The following is a 22,345-nucleotide window of genomic DNA, read 5'->3' on the forward strand; positions in this document are numbered from 1 at the left end:
CTGCAACCTCTGCCTCCTGGGTTCAAGTGATTCTTCTGCCTCAGCCTCCCGAGTAGCTGGGACTATATGTGCGCACCACCATGCCCAGCTAATTTTTGTACTTTTAGTAGAGACAGGGTTTCACCATATTGGCCAGGCTGGTAAAAAAATTTTTTTAATGAAAAAAAAAAAGTTGGCTGGGTCCGGTGACTCACGCCTGTAATCCCAGCACTTTGGGAGGCCAAGGCAGGCGGATCACCTGAGGTCAGGAGTTCGAGACCAGCCTGACCAACGTGGAGAAACCCCGTCTCTAATAAAAATACAAAATTAGCCAGGCGTGATGGCGCATGCCTATTGTCCCAGCTACTGGGGAGTCTGAGGCAGGAGAATCGCTTGAACCCGGGAGGCAGAGGTTGTGGTGAGCCGAGATCGCACCATTGCACTCCACCCTGCGCAACAGGTGCAAGACTCCATCTCAAAAAAAAAAAAAAAAAGAAAAAAAAAGAAAAAAGTTTTGAAAAGTTGAGGAGTAGAAAAATAACGGTGATTACTTCATAAGACTTGTGGGGATTAAATGAATCAATTCACTCAACAGAATAATGCCAGGCACATAGAAATGGTAGCTATTATTCATGGTTTTTTGTTTGTTTGTTTGTTTGTTTGTTTGAACACACCCCGAGAACTGTTGCCTAAGAAAGCCTTCCTGGGCATTGAGCTGAAGAGAGCTCAGCTCACAGGATTATTGGAAGGGACTTCAAGGGACCAGTAATATCCCAGGCCCTTTCCAGTCTGCCTTCCTAGACTAAGAAGTATAGGAGACTCTGCTGGAAAAGCCACCTTTTCTAGAGTTTGTATTATAGCAACTCAGGCTTCTTTGGGTATGTTGCTGATGCAAAGTAATATTGATATAGCAAGAAAAAAAAATCTGGCAGTGGAGTTTCCTCTTCCAGAGACAAGACAACAGCCTCCCTTTCTTCCCATAATTTCTCGTCCCTCCCCCAAGAGCTCCATGTGCTCCAGCTACAGCCACCTGCATCCCTTTCTTCATTAAGCTCATCCTCCCTGTCATAGCTCCTCTTCAGATATACTGCTCCCTCTGTCTGTATTGCCTGACCCTCTGGAAAACTCCACTTTCTCTGTGTAGCTCAGCTTTTCACCTCTCTGAGGCGCTCCCCAGCCCTAAATCATAAACTAGTAAATGGCAGAGCCGGGCCCTGCATAGGGTTTGTCTAATTCTAAAGTCTACATTGCTACTTCTGCTAAGTGTGTGCTCTTGGGCAACAAATACACTTAACCTGACAGGCTTCAGTGTCCACATAGACATCATAAGATGAAGGAATTAGACTTGATGATATCTAGGGTTCCCTTCAGTTGTGTTGTCTTAATCAAAAACAACAACAAAAACAATTGCTTACATTGTATATGGCTTTATAATGTCCTTTCCAAAACATTATCTCAGACAGGTGACTTTTGCTATTCTCTTGTCACAAGATAGCTCTATCCAATCACAGAGGAAAGTTCCTATATTCATTTCTTCTTTTCTTTTCTTTCGTTCTTTTTATTATTTTGAGACGGAGTCTCGTTCCGTTGCCCTGGCTGGAGTGCAATGGCACAATCTCGGCTCACTCTAACCTCCACCACCCGGGCTCAAGCAATTCTCCTGCCTCAGCCTCCAGAGCAGCTGGGATTACAGGCGCTTGCCACCATACCCGGCTATTTTTTGTATTTTTAGTAGAGATGGGGTTTCACCATGTTGGCCAGGCTGGTCTTGAACGCCTGACCTTGTGATCTGCCCACCTCAGCTTCCCAAAGTGCTGGGACTATAGGTGTGAGCCACCGCACCCAGCTTTTTTTTTTTTTTTTTTTTTTTTGAGACAGAGTCTCTCTGTGTCACCCAGCTGGAGTGCAGTGGTGCGATCTCGGCTCACTGCAACCTTCACCTCTCGGGTTCAAGTGATTCTCCCTCAGCCTCCCGAGTAGCTGGGATTACAGGCGCATGCCACCACACCTGGCTAATTTTTGTATTTTTAGTAGAATTGGGGTTTCGCCATGTTGGCCAGGCTGGTCTCAAACTCCTGACCTCAGATGATCCACCCACCTTGGCATCCCAAAGTGGTGGGATTATAGACATAAGCCACCATGGCCGGCCTCATTTCTTCCTTTCACCTGAGCTTGAAATTAGATCAAACTACTTTTCTTATGAATCAGAGACCAAGATAATGGGGTTACAAGTTACCAATCAGAAGGCCAGATGATTTCTGTTTTGACCAGTTCAACTTCCATGCAAACTGGTCAGCAGCAAGAACAATTTCTTGGATGACTCAATTACTCAGCATTCTTAATCACCCCTGAACTTGATCCTCTGCTTTTCTTTTTGTGTTTCTTCTCCAAATACCATGAAGAGGAAAAGGCAATGCCTTTTTCACATGGACCTTGTTTTGACTTTGTTTCCAAAGAGACCAACCTCCTTCTCCCCATCTAAACCAAGTCTTTGAGCCTGCCCTGGCCCCTTCTCTTTCTGAAACAGGTAATTCAAGCAAAAGGATTCAAAAGATAGACCTTGTCAATTTCAAATCTATTTCTCATCTAGACTACTTGTCTTCTCTATTTTGCAGCTAGCTGTATGTTTGAGATCTCATAAACTGAAATTATCCTGGGCTGTCACAATTTCAAGTATTTTTATTCTCTTTACATGAATGTGGTTGTTTAGTGAATTCATAATTGTAGCTTGCTTTTTATTATTTGTTTATATCCAATTCATTCTCCACCACACAAAAGATTTAAACTGCCTTACAAAAACGCACAGATTATAGGAGGAATAAATTTTAAGTAGGCAAGAAGAATAAAGCAAAGAGAAATTAAGAAGAAGATTTTAGTTTTCTGGGTTTTTGTTTTGTTTTGTTTCGTCTTTTTGAGACAGGGTCTTACTCTGTCACCCAGGCTAAAGTGGAGTGACATAACACTTATAGTTTTTATATTGTCATCACCACATCAAGCAATTAAGGTTCACAATAGGAAAAACTCATGATTCAACAAAAATGAAGAAACAACTCCTAATCTACTGTATACAAATAAGGTGTGCACTGGAGCTTATCAATTACAGTAAGCTCTTTTGTGGTTTCTTAGTGGAGCATTGTATAATGGAAAAACCATTGACTTTTTTTTTCAGGCAGCCACTGAATCAGAATAGGTTCAGAGAGACTCCTGAAAAACCACTGACTTTGAAATCAGATTCCCAACTTTGAATCCATGCATACTATGGTGATAATAATACCTACCTCAAAAGATCATTGTGGAGAAAAATACGACAGTGTATATAAAAACCTAAACATAGTACAAGGCAAGTAGTAGTTTCTTTTCTTTTTTTTTTTTTTTTTGAGATGGAGTCTTGCTCTGTCACCCAGGCTGGAGTGCAGTGGTGCGATCGTGGCTTACTGCAAACCTCCACCTCCCGGGTTCAAGCGAGTCTCGTGCCTCAGCCTCCTAAGTAGCTGGGACTACAGGCACGTGCCACCACCCTCGGCTAATTTTTTGTATTTTTTTAGTAGAGACGAGGTTTCACCATGTTGGCCAGGATGGTCTCGATTTCCTGACCCAGTGATCTGCCCACCTCAGCCTCCCAAAGTGCTGGGATTACCGGTGTGAGCCACCATGCCTGGCCTGCAAATAGTAGTTTCTAAATCTTTGTTATTTCCTGTCTCCTTTTAATTTTGCTTTGATCACAGAAAAATAGAGCTAACTACAATTTGGGTCATGAGAATTATAGAATTTTTGAGCAGGAAGAGAATCTGTTGATGGTCTTATCAGTGGGTCTCTGTGTGCTTCTGTGTGCATGACAATGGCCTGAGCACTTGCTAAAAATGCAGATTCTAGGGCCTCATCTCCAGAGATTGTTATTCACCTGATCTAGGACACAATCCAGAAACTTTTATTTTATTTTTAAATGATTAATTAGTTTAGTTTATAGAGACAGTATCTCACTCTTTTGCTCAGGGCTGGTCTTGAACTCGTGGGCTCAAGCGATCCTCCCACCTTGGCCTCCCGAAGTGTTGGAATTGCAAGTGTGAGCCACCCAGGTCATTCTGATGCAGGTGATCCAAGAACCACAGATTAAGAAACACTGCGTTCAAGTCAGACTCTTCATTTACAGAGGGTTACAGCAATCGAGTTATTTGCCTAAGGTACCACAGCTGGCAGATTGAAACCAGGACCTGGGGTGCATGACTCCACGGCCTTTCCTCCATGCTGCATTGCTTCCACAATGCATATAAAAATACAACTAAACAATAAGTCTATTTCACCTCATCATTTTTGCATAAATTGCCCTTTATGGCTGGGCACGGTGGCTCACACCTGTAATCCCAGTATTTTGGGAGGCCAACATGGGTGGATCACTTGAGGCCAGGAGTTCAAGACCAGCCTGGCCAACATGGTGAAACCCCATCTCTACTAAAAATACAAAAATTAGCCAGGCATGGTGGCACATGTCTGTTTTATACATTTTTTTTGTTTTTTGTTTTTTGTTTTTTACAATTTACAAAATACCTTCTCATGTGAAGTGGGAAGGACATGTTTTTCCTATTCTGTCCTCTGCCTGAAAGAGATTAAGTTACCTGTTCAAGTTTCCCCAGTTTGTAAGTATAGAGTTAGATCAAAGATCCTCTCTACAACCTTTGAAGCCAAAGTTTTTTCAGTTATATTATGCTGTCTCTGAGGGATAAATGTCTGAAGGTCCCCAGTGAATGTTTGTTGAATGAATGTTGAAAGAAAGAGCAAGAGGGAATGAGGTAATGAGAAAGAAAGACAAAAAAAAAAAAAAAAAAAAAAAAAAAAAAAAAAAAACACTGAGCATTATTCCCTTAAGGGGGCCAGAAAGGAATTGTTTGTTCTTGGTAGATAGAGAAGGCTATGTAAAGTTAACATCCCCCTCAGGCCGAGCGCAGTGGCTCACACCTATAATCCTAGCAGGAGTTCAGGACCAGCCTGGCCAATATGGTGAAACCTTGTCACTACTAAAAATACAAAAAATTAGCCGGGCATGGTGGCACACGCCTGTAATCCCAACTACTCGGGAGGCTAAGACAGGAGAATCGCTTGAGCCTGGAAGGCAGAGGTTGCAGTGGGCCAAGATTGTGACATTGCACTCCAGCCTGGGCAACAGAACGAGATTTCCTCTCAGAAAATAAAAAAGAACAACTCCCTCAACACAGACAGACACACACACACACTTCTTCCCCCACACACTATTGAAGCAGCCATTGCAAAATTGTAACTGAGACAGTGAAAGAGATCTGACCTAACCAACATCATCTTGCTTCTCGCCTCCAAGCTGTCCTTGTTCACTCCTGGATGTAGGCTGAACTAACTTTAGGAGGAACTTAGTTTATAGTTTAGAGGTTTTGTTTTTTTTGTTTTCGTTTTTTTGTTTTTTGATACGTTGTTTTGCTCTTGTTGCCCAGGCTGGAGTGCAGTGGTGCAATCTTGGCTCACTGCAGCCTCCACCTCCTCAGTTCAAGCGATTCTCCTGCCTCAGCCTCTGGAGTAGCTGGGATTACAGACATGTGCCACCACGCCCTGCTAATTTTGTATTTTTAGTAGAGACGGGGTTTCTCCATGTTGGTCAGGCTGGTCGCAAACTCCTGACCTCAGGTCATCCACCCACCTTGGCATGCCAAAGTGCTGGGATTACAGGCGTGAGCTACTGTGCCCGGCTATAGTTTAGAGTTTAAAGCAAAGATGATAACACCCCTTTCCCAAAACAAACCCCCTTCTTGCCTAGGGACTAGACTGCCTTTGTAGGACTGTCAAATTAGCTGCAAGATTAGAAATTATGGTTTAGGGCCGGGTGCAGTGGCTCATGCTTGTAATCCCAGCACTTTGGGAGGCCGAGGTAGGTGGATCATGAGGTCAGGAGTTCAAGACCAGCCTGGCCAAGATGGTGAAACCCCATCTGTACTAAAAATACAAAAATCAGCTGGGCATGGTAGTGGGTACCTGTGATCCCAGCTACTCAGGAGACTAAGGCAGAGAATTGGTTGAACCCGAGAGGCGGAGGTTGCATTGAGCCGAGATTGTGCCACTGAACTCCAGCCTGGGCAACAGAGCGAGACTCTGTCTCAAAAAAAAAAAAAAAAAAAAATTATAGTTTAGTAGTCATGAAACTGGAGGCTACACGACTCTGACCCTCTCCAAATTGCTCCTGGGAATAACATCACCTAAATTTTAGGTTTATTGTAAAACCTAAAACCAGTGCTTAAGGTATTTTGCGGATCCTTCACTTGATGGATCAGCTGGCACAACCTAGATCAATAAACTAGCTCATCTGATCTTATAGCCCTCCCACCCAGGAACTGACTTAGTGCAAGAATACAGCTTTGACCCTATGATTTCATCTCTGACCTGACCAATCAGCACCTCCAGATCACTGGCTTCCCCCTACCCACCAAATTGTGCTTGAAAACGCTGATACCTGGTGGGCCAGGCACGGTAGCTCACACCTGTAATCCCAGCACTTTGAGAGGCTGAGGCAGGCAGACCACCTGAGGTCAGGAGTTCAAGATCAGCCTGACCAACATGGAGAAACCCCGTCTCTACTAAAAATACAAAAATTAGCCAGGTGTGGTGGCATATGCCTGTAATCCCAGCTATTCAGGAGGCTGAGGCAGGAGGTTTGCTTGAACCCAGGAAGCGGAGGTTGCAGTGAGCCAGATCGCACCATTGCACTCTGGAATAGCTGCCTCTGCAGTTTTGTTGGAGGCAAGTGCTGTTGCTAGCCACGTTTGGGAAAAAAACAAAAAACAAAAAACAAAAACCCTGAAACCTTTTATTTTGGCTCAGTATTTTTTTTTTTTTAAGAGGCAAAGTTTCACTGTGTTGTCCAGGCTGGCCTCAAACTCTTGGGCTCAAGCCGTCCTCCTGCCTCAGCCTCCCATGTAGTTAGGACTACAAGTGCAGGTTTGAGAAGCCATGTCCAGTTCAAGCTAGGCTTCCTTCATTTTTGTGAAGATGCCTGATCCTTTCATTTCTGAGTCCTGTTTTTTGAGAGCCAGTAGGAAAGAGGAGTAGGAGAAAAGGAGTGATTTTTTATATATATTAGTACGTTAATTTTGGAAAGAGAACTGAGCTAAAGTTTCAGGAATAACTTAACCATTATATTCACTGTCTATACCTCAACATTCCAGCTATGGAATTGCATTTGGCAAATATTCTTTTCTTAGGTTGGCTTCTGACAGGGCTAATATTAGTAGTTCTTAATGACTCAAAAACAACTGAGGGAGTTAGGGGTACTATGACTTTACCAATCAGTGCCAGTGTATCTCATTCTCTGAGTTGGTAGAGTGAATCCCTCAAGGTCAGGATTAATTTTTGTCATCCCTGGACAAGTCATTTCTTTTATCTGGGCCAATTACTCAAAGTTCCACATTCAACTTAATATTTCATTAAAGAAAAATCCAAAAGGCTTCACTATGTGAAGACAGAGGGTTACATCATGATTTCCAAAGTTTAGCAAACATGTGATTACCACACTACTTACAAATGTTATGAAATCCATCAAGAATTCAGAATTTATCTTCTAAAATGTAAGGCTATATTGATGTCAAGTCAGCCTGATGTAATTTTAACAGATCTCTAAAACACACAAAAAATCATCTGATTGAGGCATGCAAAGAGGCAGAGAAAAATAAAAGAAGAAACAAAAAACAAATCAATGGCCGGGTCTGGTGGCTCAGGCCTGTAATCACAGCACTTTGGGAGGCTGAGACAGGCAGATCACTTGTGGTCAGGAGTTTGAGACCAGCATGGCCAGTGTGGTGAAACCCCGTCTCTACTAAAAATACAAAAATTAGCCAGGTATGGGGTCTCATGCCTGTAGTCCCAGCTACTCGGGAGGCTGAGGCAGGAGAATCGCTTGAAGCTGGGAAGCAGAGGTTGCAGTGAGCCGAGATCACACCACTGCACTCCAGCCTGGGTGACAGAGCAAGACTCCATCTCAAAAAACAAAAACAAAACCAAATCAATCTGTCTTTGAAGTTAGAGCACTGCAATGAAAAAATAAAAAAGGTTTGTGATCCAAAGTTATGCTGTAAGAATGGCATCTACCATAGCAACAACACTTTTCTTTTTTTCTTTTCTTTTCTTTTTTTTTTTTTTTTGAGATGGAGTTTCACTTTGCTGCCCAGGCTGGAGTGCAGTGGCATGATCTCGGCTCACTGCAGGCTCTGCCTCCTGAGTTCAAGCAATTCTTCTGCCTCAGCATCCCAAGTAGCTGGGATTACAGGTGCCTGCCACCAGGCCCTGGCTAATTTTTTGTGTTTTTAATAGAGACGGGGTTTCACCATGTTGACCAGGCTGGTCTCGAACTCCTACCTCAGGTGTTCCGCCCCCCCACTCCTCCCAAAGTGCTGGGATTACAGGCATGAGCCATCGTGCCCAGCTGAAACATCACTTTTTTCTTTTCTTTTCTTTTCCTTTTTTTGAGACAGAGTCTTGCTCTGTTGCCCAGGCTAGAGTGCAATGGTGCGATCTCTGCTCACTGCAACCTCCACCTACCAAATTCAAACGATTCTCCTGCCTCAGCCTCACCAGTAGCTGGGACTACAGGCGTGTGCCACCACACCGGCTAATTTTTTGTATTTTTAGTAGAGACGGTGTTTCTCTGTGTTAGCCAGGATGGTCTCGATCTCCTGACCTCATGATCCGCCTGCCTCGGCCTCCTAAAGTGCTGGGATTACAGGTGTGAGCCACCGTTCTCAGCCTGAAACATCACTTTCGTAAGCTTCCAGAAATGTTCAGGCTTAGGCTTTAGCAAATGAAATCACTCTAGTCTACTGTCGGAGAAGAAGAAACAGTCCATTGCTCTGAAACTAAAATACAGATCAGCCATGAATCTGCCCTTGTTGACATTCATCACTCAGATTCTGATTAGATATAACTAACAGAAATGGAATATGAACTCAGAAACACTCTGCCACCCCTCCACTCCCTATATTAACGCACCTCAGGCTGGCTTTATAGGTCTACAGATGTAACCCTGGAAATGTAGAATGGCTAAATCCAAACGTCTCTAGTTAACCAAGAGCTGAATTAAATTAATGTCATACATATAATGCATCTTGATTTTTTTTTTTTTTTTTTAAGACAGAGTCTTGCTCTGTCACCCAGGCTGGAGTGCGGTGGCATGATGTCGGCTCACCGCAATCTCCACCTCCTGGGTTCAAGTGATTCTCCTGCCTCAGCCTCCTGAGTAGCTGGGATCACAGGCGCCTACCACCATGACTGGCTAATTTTGTTTTTGTTTTTGTTTTTGTTTTTGTTTTTGTTTTTGTTTTGAGACAAGTTTCACTCCATCACCCAGGCTGGAGTGCAGTGGTGTGATCTCGGCTCACTGCAACCTCCACCTCTTGGGTTCAAGCGATTCTCCTGCCTCCCGAGTAGCTGGGACTACAGGCACCTGCCACGGTGCCCGGCTAATTTTTGTAATTTTGGTAGATTCGGGGTTTTGCCATGTTGGCCAGGCTGGTCTCGAATTCCTGACCTCAGGTGATCTGCCTGCCTCGGCCTCCCAAAGTGCTGGGATTATAGGCGTGAGCCACTGTGCTTGACCAATTTTTTTTTTTTTTTTTTTTTGAGATGGAGTCTTGGTCTGTGGCTCAGGCTGGAGTGCAGTGGTGAGATGTGGGTTCACTGCAACCTCTGCCTCCCAGATTCAAGCGGTTCTCCTGCCTCACTCTCCCAAGTAGCTGGTATTACAGGTGTGTACCACCATGCCTGGCCAATTTTTGTATTTTTAGTAGAGACGGGATTTCACCATGTTGGCCAGCCTGGTCTTGAACTCCTGACCTCAGGTAATCCACCCGCCTTGGCCTCCCAAAGTGCTATGCATGAGCCACCGTGCCTAGCCCAAAGTGTGGTTTTTAGATGGATATTTGTATCAGATTCTACTTAATGCTCATAGAACTAAACAACTAACAAGAGAAGTCACTGATGAGTGCTAAATTCTACCTAGAACTTGGTTACAGAAAGCCTGTAATTGGATGCAGCTCACTGTCCTAGAAAATCCAAGCAAAATTTTACACATGTATGTGAATCAAGGACTCCCACAGCAGCTTGGAGATTGTCAGTTAGGGAGTCTCAAACTGCAAGTTAATTCATGAGCCAAAACATATTCTCTCAAATGTTCTGTAAAAGTGTGGATGTGGGAGCATAAACTCAGCAAAGCAGCCACACTGTTACAGAATGAGTAAGAATCTAGGGGGCTGGATGCGGTGGCTCACACCTATAATCCCAGCACTTTGGGAGGCCGAGGCAGGTGGATCATTTGAGGTCAGGAGTTCGAGACCGGCCTGACCAACATGGTGAAACCCCGTCTCTACTAAAATACAAAAAATTACCTGGGCAGTAGTGGCATGCACTTGTAATCCCAGCTACTCGGGAGGCTGAGGTGGGAGAATCCCTTGAGCCTGAGAGGCGGAGGTTGCAGTGAACTGAGATCAGGCCACTGCACTCCAGTCTGGGTGAGAGAGTGAGACTGTGTCACAAAAGAAAAAAAAAAAAACAAAACACACACACACACACACACACACACACACACAAAGAATCTAGGTCTCTATCTCCTTTCTCCAAGCAACATGTATCCCTGAAACACAAGGACTACTCTCTGGAACTGCTTAGTGGCTGGTGCACTGAGTGGGTATGCCCAAAACGCACATGGTTTTACTTGCATGAGGGAGTCGAAGTTTAACTTGCAGGTTTCCCAGTAATTGTTTACAAAAGGGTTTCTCCTCAAGCCACCACTACAGAATATCCTTGCTAGGCATAAAAAATATGGCCCCTTCCCTTCACATGCTCATAAGAACTTCAGGGATGCTTGGGCAGAAACCACACCTAGACCACCATGTTCTTCTTCCTCTTTTTTTTTTTTTTAATAGAGACGGGGCCTTGGTATGTTGCCCAGGCTAGTCTCAAACTCCTGGGCTCAGGCGATCTTCCCACCCCATCCTCCCAAAGTGTTGGGATTACATGCGTGAGCCCCTGTGCCTGGCCTATCACCATGTTCTTGCCAGCTCTCCACCAGGTGAGCATATGAGGCTCATAACCAGTTCTTATTTATTTAATGGAGGGTGGGGGAGATTCTGATTGGGGTAGTCTCGGACTGAACTAAATTTTAATATATTCATGTTAAATAAATGATTTGGCTACCTAATTAATAACACAATTTCCTGTGAAAGATAAAAATCAAGAACTGAAGACTATTTCCCAGAAAAAGAATAGTGGTGAATTTGTTACATTTATTCTTTCTCTCTCTCTTTCTCTCGTACCCACCCATACACACAGATTGAGACATACACTCCAAACTGCCAAGGAATCTGTTTGTGGTGCAATTTTTGGAAGTCGAAGATATTGCACATTTTAAGTCACAACCTGGCTGGGCACAGTGGCTCATAATCCCAGCACTTTGGGAAGCCGAGGCAGGCGGATGACTTGAGCTCAGGATTTGGAGACCAGCCTGGGCAACGTGTCAAAACTCTGGCTCTACAAAATATACAAAAATTAACTGGGTGTGGTGGCATGCACCCGTTATCCCAGCTACCCAGGAGGTTGAGGTGACAGAATGGCTTGAGCCTGAGAGGTGGAGGCTGCAATGAACCAAGACTGCACCACTGCACTCCCTCCTGAGTGTCAGAGCTGTATCCTGTCTCAAAAAAAAAAAAAAAAAGACACAATCTGCTTCAAAATCAGAAAGCATGCCATCTCGAGAGATATACCAAATAATTGGCAATGGTGATCTGGGATAGATGGGCAGGGATCATAAAAAAACTTCCACACTTTTCATATTATATATTTCTTATAATGTTTGAACATGTTTAGTGAGCCTATATTTCTCCTTTTGTAAGCAGAAAGTATAACACAGAGAAAGTTTAAAAACAAAAGCAGCATGCCACCTCTCTTAGCAGTGGACCACATACTACCATCATTCACTTCATGCCGGACTCCTTGTGATAGTTCTGCCTGTTCATGAGAATCCCTGATTCACAATCTCCAAGCAGCTGTGAGGGTCCCTGAAAAGATTTGGCAGCTCCTTACCAGTCCTCTGAATGGGTAGAAAATCATGCAGGCACAGTGGCTCACGCCTGTAATCCCAGCACTTTGGGAGGCCAAGGTGGGAGGACCACAAAGTCAGGAGTTCCAGACCAGCCTGGCCAACATAGTGAAACACTGTCTCTACTAAAAATACAAAAATTAGCCGTGTGTGGTGGCACATGCCTTTAATCCTAGCTACTCGGGAGGCTGAGGCAGGAGAATCGCTCAAACCCAGGAGGCAGAGGTTGCAGTGAGACGAGACCGCACCACTGCACTCCAGCCTGGGTGACAGAGCAAGACTCTGACTCAAAAAAAAAAAAAAAAAAAAAGGAGGGGCTGGGCGCCGTGGCTCACGCCTGTAATCCCAGCACTTTGGGTGGCCGAAGCGGGCAGATCACGAGGTCAGGAGTTTGAGACCAGCCTGGCCAACATGGTGAAACCCCATCTCTACTAAAAATACAAAAATTAGCCAAGTGTGGTGGTTTGTGCCTGTAATCCCAGCTACTTGGGAGGCTGAGGCAGGAGAATCGCTTGAACCCGGAAGGCAGGGGGTTGCAGTGAGCTGAGATCTCGCCATTGCACTCCAGCCTGGGTAACAGAGCAGGACTCCGTCTCAAAAAAACAAACAAAACAAAACAAAACCAAAAAAATCACACATGCAGATACCAATCTGGGACAAAGTAGAAGCCCTTGGGCTTCCTTTCCTTGTAACCTTTTCCCTCGGGTCTGTCAGGACTGTCTTCACCATCAGAATGAGCAGTTTCCCTGTGGGTCCTTACCTATCTTCTCACCCCCATGTGCCTTTTGTTTATGGTTGATTTCCCAGGCCTCTCTGCAAATGGCTAAGGGACACAGAGGTTTAATCTGGTATTGACTGTCAACACTAACAAACCTCATGCTTAGTGAAAGATGTGCTTAGAACTGAACTGTTAGGTAGAGCCCTAAAAATGTGTGGAGAAAGAATGTTGAAGATGAGGTGGGGAACTTTCGTGCTTTTGGGCATGGAAACCATTTAGCATAGTGCACATTGGCAGGATGTCAAGAAACTGTTTTCCATGACGCCCAAAAGAATAATATACTGTATTCAAGGAGGCCCTGGCAAGTGTGCAGCCCTGTATTGAGTAACATTAGGGAATCAACAGAGGTAAAATTAATGATCCCTCGGCTGGGTGCAGTGGCTCATGCCGGTAATCCCAGCACCTTGGGAGGCCAAGGCAGGTGGATCATGAGGTCAGGAGTTCAAGACCAGCCTGGCCAACATGGTGAAACCCCATCTCTACTAAACAAATACAAAAATTAGCTGGGCGTGGTGGCGCACACCTGTAATCCCAGCTACTAGGGAGGCTGAGGCAGGAGAATCTCTTGAACCCAGGAGGTGGAGGTCGCAGTGAACCGAGATCACACCACTGCACTCTAGCCTGGGTGACAGAGCAAGACACTGTCTCAAAAAAAAAAAAAAAAAATTCATGACCCCTGCTCTTGAAGAGCCCAGAATATATAGTTAGTAACTGAGATCTCTGTTGTAAACAGGCAAGGCAATACTGTTCTCTCTCTTTCTCTCTCTCTCTCTCTCATGGTGTGTGTGTGCATGTGTGTAAGGTACTGATTCCTTACTACATGGACTCAACAAGACCACCTCATCACCAGTCTGCTACATAGACAAGTTCCTTGAAGACATTCTTCATGTCTTCACCAAGTCATGTACTGATGGCCAAGCCTTCCCTTTCCTGTGGCCCTCTGGCTTTGGCACACTCCTCCTCGTCACTAGCCACACTTGCTGTCGCTGTGGGGACGCACAAGCAGAAGGGCTGCTTTCACACACCTCAGCTTACCCCAGTTGCTTCAAACTGCTCTCCACCTCCCTTGCTTGGTAGCCTTTCTTCCATGCATCATTTCAGTGTCAGCCACTGCTAGATTATTAGCCCTTGAGGTCTCCTGCTTTCTTTTCCGGCCAAGCACACTTCAGGAAGAAAGCCATAATTGTTCTGACAAAACGTTCTGTTCAACCAGAATGAACTCAAAATGGAATTCTGGGAACTCAGGCAAACAACTATTGCCAATCAGGTTGCTGCCAGCCAACTCCAAGAACAGTCTAGAAGTAAGAGCCTGCTGATTGCTCTGCCTCCTCCCACCCTATGTCAAATGGTGTCGTGCTGACAGCTGACAATGTCTCCATTCTCCTGATGACACCATTTCAAAAGACTTAAACCATCTCCTCCTTTGACCAGCATGTGTGGGTTTATGACGTTCCTTGCCAAGCCACAGGGTAATCTGCAAATGGTAATTCTCCTGGCCTGAGTAAGTTCCCAGAACCCCTAGGTTGGCCATATAATTACAAACTCCAGAGCATTAATAAAGACAAGGAAAAGTGAAGTGGCTGGCTCATGCCCATAATCTCAGCACTTTGGGAGGCTGAGGCATGAGGATTCTTGAGCCCAGAAGTTCCAGACCAGCCTGGGCAACATAGTGAAACCTCATCTGTATAAAAAAATACAATAATTAGCCAGGTACGGTGGTGTGTGCCTGTAGCCTGTAGTCCCAGCTACTAAAGAGGCTGAGGTGGGAAGATCGCTTGAGCCGGGTTGCAGTGAGCCGGGATCAGGCAACTGCACTGTGGCCTAGGTGACAGAGCAAGACTGTCTCAAGACAAAAAAAGAAAGAAGAAAAGTGGAGTGGACAATGGAGGAGGACAAATTATTTTACAAAGAACAACAACAACAAAAATACCTTGAAATCTTCATAAACACTAAATAGCCAGGCATGGGCCAGGCATGGTGGCTCACACCTGTAATCCCAGCACTTTGGGAGTCTGAGGTGAATGGGTCACTTGAGGTCAGGAGTGTGAGACCTGCCTGGCCAACACGGTAAAACCCTGTCTCTACTAAAAATACAAAAACTAGGGCCCGGCATGATGGCTCACACCTGTAATCCCAGCATTTTGGGAGACTGAGGCAGTTAGATTACCTGAGGTCAGGAGTTTGAGATCAGCCTAGCTAACATGGTGAAACCCCGTCTCTACTAAATATACAAAATTAGCTGGGCGTGGTGGCGCACGCCTATAATCCCAGCTACTGGGGAGGCTGAGGCAGGAGAATTGCTTGAGACGGGGAGACAGAGTTTGCAGTGAGCCAGGACTGCTCTCCAGCCTGGGCGACAGTGAGACTCCGTCTCAAAAAAACAACAACAAAAACCAGCTGGGCGTAGTGGTGCACACCTGTAATCCCAGGGCTTGGGAGGCTGAGGCAGGAAAATTGCACGAACCTGGGAGGCAGAGATTGCAATAAGCTGAGATTGCCCCACTGCACTCTGGCATGGGCAACAGAGTGAGACTCCGTCTCAATAATAATAATAAATAGCCAGGCATGGTGGCATGTGCCTGTTGTCCCAGCTACTCATGAGGCTGAGGCAGGCAGATCACTTGAGCCCAGGAGTTTAAGAGTGATCATAGGAGATCACAGTGCTGTCATGCACTATGATCACACCTGTAAATAGCCACTCACTTCAGCCTAGGCAACACAGTGAGAAGCTGTCTTTCTCTCTTTTTCCTTTTTTTTGCGGGGCAGACAGGATCTCACTCTGTCACCCAGGCTGGAGTGCAGTGGTACGATCTCAGCTCACTACAACATCTACCTCCCAGGTTCAAGCGATTCTTCTGCCTCAGACTCCCGAGTATCTGGGAGTACAGGCATGCACCATCATACCCAGCTAATGTTTTGTATTTTTAGTACAGACAGAGTTTCACCATGTTGACCAGGCTGGTCTTGAACTCCTGGCCTCAAATGATCCACCTGCCTCGGCCTCCCAAAGTGCTGGAATTACAGGTGTGAGCCAGTGTGCCTAGCCAATTGTTATTTCTATGCCTATGTAATATGCCACACAGAATCACATGTATATGAAAATATTTTTAATAAAGTATTCAAAATGATAAGCTAGTAGGAAAAAAAGATTTGCCTATCTAATGACTCAAGTTGAAATGAATTTCTGAAAACAAAGACAATATATTGCAGTGATTACAAGCATACCTACAATCACCCAGATCTATGTTTGATGACAAAATAGTATTCAACTTGTAGGAAATGCCTCTAAGAGAAAATGGGAAGGAGCCAGGAGAGGCTGGCAGGCCCATCAGACTGCGATGCAGGCCTCAACCCAAGTGAAGAAGAGAGGAAAGGAGAGAAGGGTGGGTAGAAGCACGTTACATTATAGTGTACTCTAAAGAAATTTCAGTGAGGCTGTGGGAGCACCCCAGTCATCAGAGGAGTCCCATATCTCCAAAGTATCACCCTGCCTTAATATCCCTGCCACACTCTGTCACTGGCTGAGAGTAGCCCATGGGTGTGTGGCCTCAGCTCACATGTGGTGATGGAATTCAGAAGGCAGCAGGGGCCCTCAGTCAATTGCTCCCCGCAGTTAGAAGGATATCTGAGCGGTGTATCTCATGGTCACCACACTCAGTTTTCCCCTTTAGTAAGACAGGACAAAATCCTTGCCCACTTGCCATCCAGAGAAATTGGATGACTCAGAGAAGGTAATGTCTGTAAACACTTTGTAAACTTTAAGTATGGAACAGGTAAAATATTCCTTACACAGGACTATGACCCAGTCGTGATGTGTAGCTCTTCACTCCCTATCTCTGTCTACATCCTTTAACACACACCTATGAGACCTCCAGTCTGCCTCTGGCTACCCAACCTAGATACTTCCTGAGCTCAGCCCTGTCTGGAACGCAGGAATGGAAAATACAGTCCTTTGGGTCATAGCTAAAAATGTCCTCAAATAGATCCAGCCAGCTGGCTGTGCATAGGTCAATTCAACCTCATTATGTACCACTTCAATGAAGCTGGACATTGACCTCTTTGATAACCAAGGGCCATGCACAGCAAATTCTGCAACTTAATGATTAAACTGCTTAGAAGAGAGGCAAACTATTAGACTTTGAGAGCTCTACGTTTTTATTTTGATTTTATTTATTTATTTATTTTGAGATGGACTCTTGCTCTGTCTCCCAGGCTGGAGTGCAGTGGTGTAATCTTGGCTCACTGCAACCTCTGCCTCCCAGGTTCAAGCAATTCTCCTGCCTCAGCCTTCTGAGTAGCTGGGATTACAGGTGCTTGCCACCACACCTGGCTAATTTTTCTATTTTTAGTAGAGATGAGGTTTCACCATGTTGGCCAGGCTGGTCTCGAACTCATGACCTCAAGTGATCTGCCTGCCTTGGCCTCCCAAAGTGCTGGGATTACAGGTGTGAGCCACCATACCTGGCCATAATTTTATTTATTTTTGAATAGGTAATACTTACACATGATCTGATATGCAAAACCTACAAAAGATAATACAGTGAAAAGCCTCCCTTCCATTCTGTCTTCTACTCACAAAGTTCCCCCTTGCTGGAGGCAATCAATGCTATCCTTTCTTTTCTTTTCTTTTCTTTTCTCTTTTTGTTTTTTTTTTTGAGACAGAGTCTCTGTCTGTTGCCCAGGCTGGAGTGCAGTGGCGATATCTCGGCTCACTGCAACCTCTGCCCCCCGGGTTCAAGCAATTCTCCTGCCTCAGCCTCCTGAGTAGCTGGGACTACAGGCGCATGCCACCACACCTGGCTATTTTTTTTTGTATTTTAGTAGAGACGGGGTTTCACTGTGTTGCCTAGGCTGGTTGCAAACTCCTGAGCTCAGGCAATCCACCTGCCTCGGCCTCCCAAATTGCTGGGATTACAGGCGCGAGCCACCGCACACAGCCAATGCTAACTTTTTCTTATGTATCCTTTCAGAAATATATATATATATATATATATATATAATTATTTTTTTTTTTTGGTATGTTGTCTCTCTCTGTTGCCCAGGCTGGAGTGCAGTGGTGCGATCTCGGCTCACTGCAACTTCTGCCTCCCGGGTTCAAGTGATTCTCCTGCCTCAGCCTCCTCAGTAGCTGGGATTACAGGCGCCTGCCACCACACCTGGCTAATTTTTGTATTTTTAGTACAGACAGGGTTTCACCATGTTGGCCAGGCTGGTCTTGAACTCCTGACCTCAGGTGATCTGCCCGCCTCGGCCTCCCAAAGTGCTGGGATTACAGGCGTGAGCCACCGCGCCCAGCCCTCAGAAACATTTTATGTGTATTTCTGCCTCCAAAATAATTTCTAAAATTGCTAAAAGAATGTCCCTTAGAGAGTAACTAGTGTTCAGACTGGGCTAATGTTATTTACATTCCTCTATTTTACTCTAATGTATCTAATTTCAACCTTATTTGGAGGCATATTTTTTCAACATTTCACTCTGAAGATTTTTCAAACATACAGGAAAGTTGAAAGAATTGTTCAGTGGGGCCAGGTGCAGTGGTTTACGCCTCTAATCCCAGCACTTTGGGAGGCCAAGGTGGGCGGATTACTTGAGGTCAGGAGTTTGAAACCAGCCTGGCCAACATGGAGAAACCCCGTCTCGACCAAAACTACAAAAATTAGCTGGGTGTGGTGGCAGGCACCTGTAATCCCAGCTACTCGGGAGGCTGAGGAAGGAGAATCACTTGAGCCCCAGAGGTGGAGGCTGCAGTGAGCTGAGATCACACCACTGCACTCCAGCCTGTTAGACAGAGCAAGACTCCATCTCAAAAAAAAAAAAGAAAGAAAGAAAAGAAAAGAAAGAAAGAATTGTTCAGTGAACACCCACACTCCCACCACCTAGATTCTGCAATGACTAATTTGCTACATTTACTTTAGGTATTGCTATTATTATTCTCATTTTACCGCTGATGAAACTGTGTCTTGTTGCAAAAGCTTCTAATGGTATCTTGCTTAATCTTTTTTTTTTTTTTAATTATTCCAGCATTTCAACCAAGGTCCAAAGAGATTAACGTTCCCTGAGAAGAATTTCAATCCAGTTTCTTGTGTCCGAATATGGTCTGTAGATAAGGCCCAAAGAACACAAGTTCTCTTTTTCACTTGTAATTGCGCCATCCTTTGGCCCTTATCATTCCACGTGGTGCTGTTCTCCCTAACAGTTTAACCTCCCTCAGCTGACCTCCTTCTTCTTGAAAGCATGGTAGCTTTTAGGCATGTGAGGGAAGCAGACCAGGCATCCCAGCTGACTCATCTGTTTTTATCTCAACAGCCTACATGGACAACCACTTTTCTACTCACAGTGTGTGGTTCACAGACCAGCCGAATTACATCATAAATGCACAGTATCAGGCCCACCCAGACCTATAGAATGAGAATCTGCCATTTCACAAGATGTCCAAGTGATTCCTATGCACATGCCACATCATTACAGTCTCACTTCAGCCATGGTTAAAAGGAGCCCAATGTGATTTACTGGTCATACGTGGAAAAAAAAAAAAGAGTAGTTCATGACATTTTTCTTGATCAGCCATGGTAACTCATGTCTGTAATCCTAACACTTTGGGATGCCAAAGTGGGATGATCACTTGAGGCCAGGAGTTCAAGTCCAGCCTGGGCAACATAGCAAGACTATAAAGAAAAATAAAGACATTTATCTTTAAAACAACCTTTCCTTCTTCTTGTTTTTACATCTCATTTGCCTCTTTACTCCCTTTCTTCACAACCTGTAATTCCACTTATTGAGCCTGCTGTGTATGCTACGTATGAGGAACATTATTGCTAACCCTCAGAGGTTTACAGAAGATGTTTTATTCCTAATTTACAGATGAGGCTCAGAGGATTAGAAATCCACCTAATATTAAACAGCTGTAAATATTAAGTATGTTCTTTTCCAAGACCTACTGCTCTCTTTCTACTGTAAAACAATGTATTTCCAAACTCTGGCAATTGTCTCAGCCTAGACGTTTCCCACTAGGGCCAGAGAGCTTATGTCTGCCTGTCATCAAAGGCTTGTGGACTTGTCTCTCTCTCAAGCCTCTTTCTCATGTCTTGTTCACTACTAGTTGACCTGGATCTTGTTCTTTTAGCTCCCAGGCATCAACCAGGTGTTCTATAATCTAAGAACTTAGGTAACACCTGTGCATTGTAATGATAGCCTCCTACAGATGGTGAGAGGAGGTGGGAGTGAGAAGATGACAGACAGGTGAAGAAATATTTGGCGAGGTAGGATGCACTCTGCCAGGGCATGCCCCATTTCAACCTAAATAAAGAGCTCAAATAGCTGTTGTGCATATGGTATCTTGCTAATGCCTATGCTGGGTACAGAGATCTATAAAATGTAATTCCTGCCCTTAATAAGGATAATTAATCCAGCAGGGGAGCTAGAACATGCACACATAAAAGCCCCATGAACAAAGTACAGCAGGAACATAGAAGAGAAGCTGCTTCTGGGTGGTGAAATAGATGATTACAAAGAGCATGGGATGGGAGGCAGAGAGCCTCTCAGGCAAGGGGAGAATGTGCAGAAACAGAAGGAAGGAAAAGCACCTTTGGGGAGTCTCCTGCACAGAGCCCAGGGTGGCTGATGGAGAAGGTATGTTAGATTAAGGGGGAAGCTTGGGAATGCCTCATAGGGAGTCACTGAAGGTTGATAAGTAATGTGATCAGAAGTGGGCAGTTCGGTTACTACTTTGGCAGAGAATGTGGCTCAGAGCAGACAGTGACTAGATTGAGCAAGGTGACAGATTCATACCTAGAATGAAACTCAGAGAACAGGTAGACAAGCAGCTTTCAAACTTTTTGGCCCTGAAACCCTTTGTACAAATGAAATGTTAGTCAGCCATTGTAAACAAATAGATTAAAGCTAAATTACTCTGGTTGGAATAAGTGGGAGGGAAGAACTGAGTTCTTTCCTTCCTCTCATTTCTTTCTTTCTCTCCAAGTGGATTCTGAAGGGGCTTCTTGTTTGAAAATCAATGATCAAAGGGCTTAGCAAACCACAACCAGCTCCTGCCTGCCACCTGCTTTTGCAAATAAAAACCTATGGGGATACAGCTATGCCTCTTTGATTTCATATTGTCTCTGCCTGCTTTCATGTTACAATGACCAAGCTGAATAATCAGGACAGGGAAACCCCATGGTCCACAGAATTGAAAGTATTTGCTATCTGGCCCTTTAAAGACAAGGTTTGCCAACCTACCATCTAGGGCTTTATTACAATGCACAGGTGTTACCTATGTTCTTGGTCTGTGGTCTAAGTGTCATCCTTAGACACCAGCACACATTGTCCCTCTGTGCACAGATAGCTCAGGGTGGTGAAGGTTGATTTAGGAGTCATTGACAGCCAGGCGCGGTGGCTCATGCCTGTAATCCCAGCACTTTGGGAGGCCGAGGTGGGCGGATCACCTGCAGTCAGGAGTTCGAGACCAGCCTGACCAAAATCCAACATGGAGAAACCCCGTCTCTACTAAAAATACTAAATTAGCTGGGCATGGTGGCACATGCCTGTAATCCCAGCTACTCGGGAGGCTGAGGCAGAAGAATCACTTGAACCCGGGAGGCAGAGGTTGCGGTGAGCCGAGATCACACCATTGCTCTCCAGCCTGGACAAAAAGAGTGAAACTCTGTCCACCCCCCCACCCCCCCGAAAAAAAAAAAGGAGTCATTGCCTTGGAATTAGGAGTTAGGAGTTGTGTGAGATGGCTTATGATCAAGAGAGAGGGTCCAGAGAGAAAAGAAAGGAGGTTCTGAGAAAACCTTCAGTAATGGCTAGATTTAGAGAACAGGCTGAGGGAATCATAGGAGAAATCACTGGGAAAAGTACCAATTCTCATTGATGCCAGAAAATTATGACACATTGGGCCGGGTGCAGTGGCTCACGCCTGTAATCCCAGCACTCTGGGAGGCCAAGGCGGGCGGATGACAAAGTCAGGAGATGGAGACGATCCTGGCTAACATGGTGAAACCCCATCTCTACAAATAATATAAAAAATTAGCTGGGCGTGGTGGTGGCGCCTATAGTCCCAGCTACTCCAGAGGCTGAGACAGGAGAATGGCGTGAACCCTGGAGGAGGAGCTTGCAGTGAGCCGAGATCGCGCCACTGCACTCCAGCCTGGGCAACAGAGCAAGACTCTGTCTCAAAAAAAAAAGAAAAGAAAATTATGACACATTGAAAGCCTTTTCTTTCTCCTTCTCCTTCCTCTTCCTCTTCTTCTTCTCTCTTCCTCCTCTTCTTTTTTGAGCAGGATCTCTCTCTGTTGTCCAGGCCAAAGTGCAATGGCACGATCGCGGCTCATTGCAGACTTGACTTCCTGGGTTCATCCTCCCACCTCAGCCTCTCAAGTAGCTGGGACCACAGGCGCACACCACCACACTTGACTAATTTGTTTGTTTTTTTGAGATGGAGTTTTGCTCTCTTGTTGCCCAGGCTGGAATGCAATGGTGTGATCTCA

General features: G+C 45.0%; 1 annotated feature.

The window, feature by feature from the left end:
* Window positions 18,853–19,441: a transcriptional cis regulatory region, noted in NCBI's record as "candidate enhancer chr9.246 targeted for multiplex CRISPR interference". NCBI's record gives its function as "positively regulates PLIN2 gene expression with high confidence in K562 cells {active_cell/tissue: K562}" and the evidence as "EXISTENCE:mutant phenotype evidence [ECO:0000015][PMID:30612741]".

The sequence above is a fragment of the Homo sapiens genome, chromosome 9 (assembly GCF_000001405.40).
Source record: "Homo sapiens chromosome 9, GRCh38.p14 Primary Assembly".
NCBI lineage: Eukaryota > Metazoa > Chordata > Mammalia > Primates > Hominidae > Homo > Homo sapiens.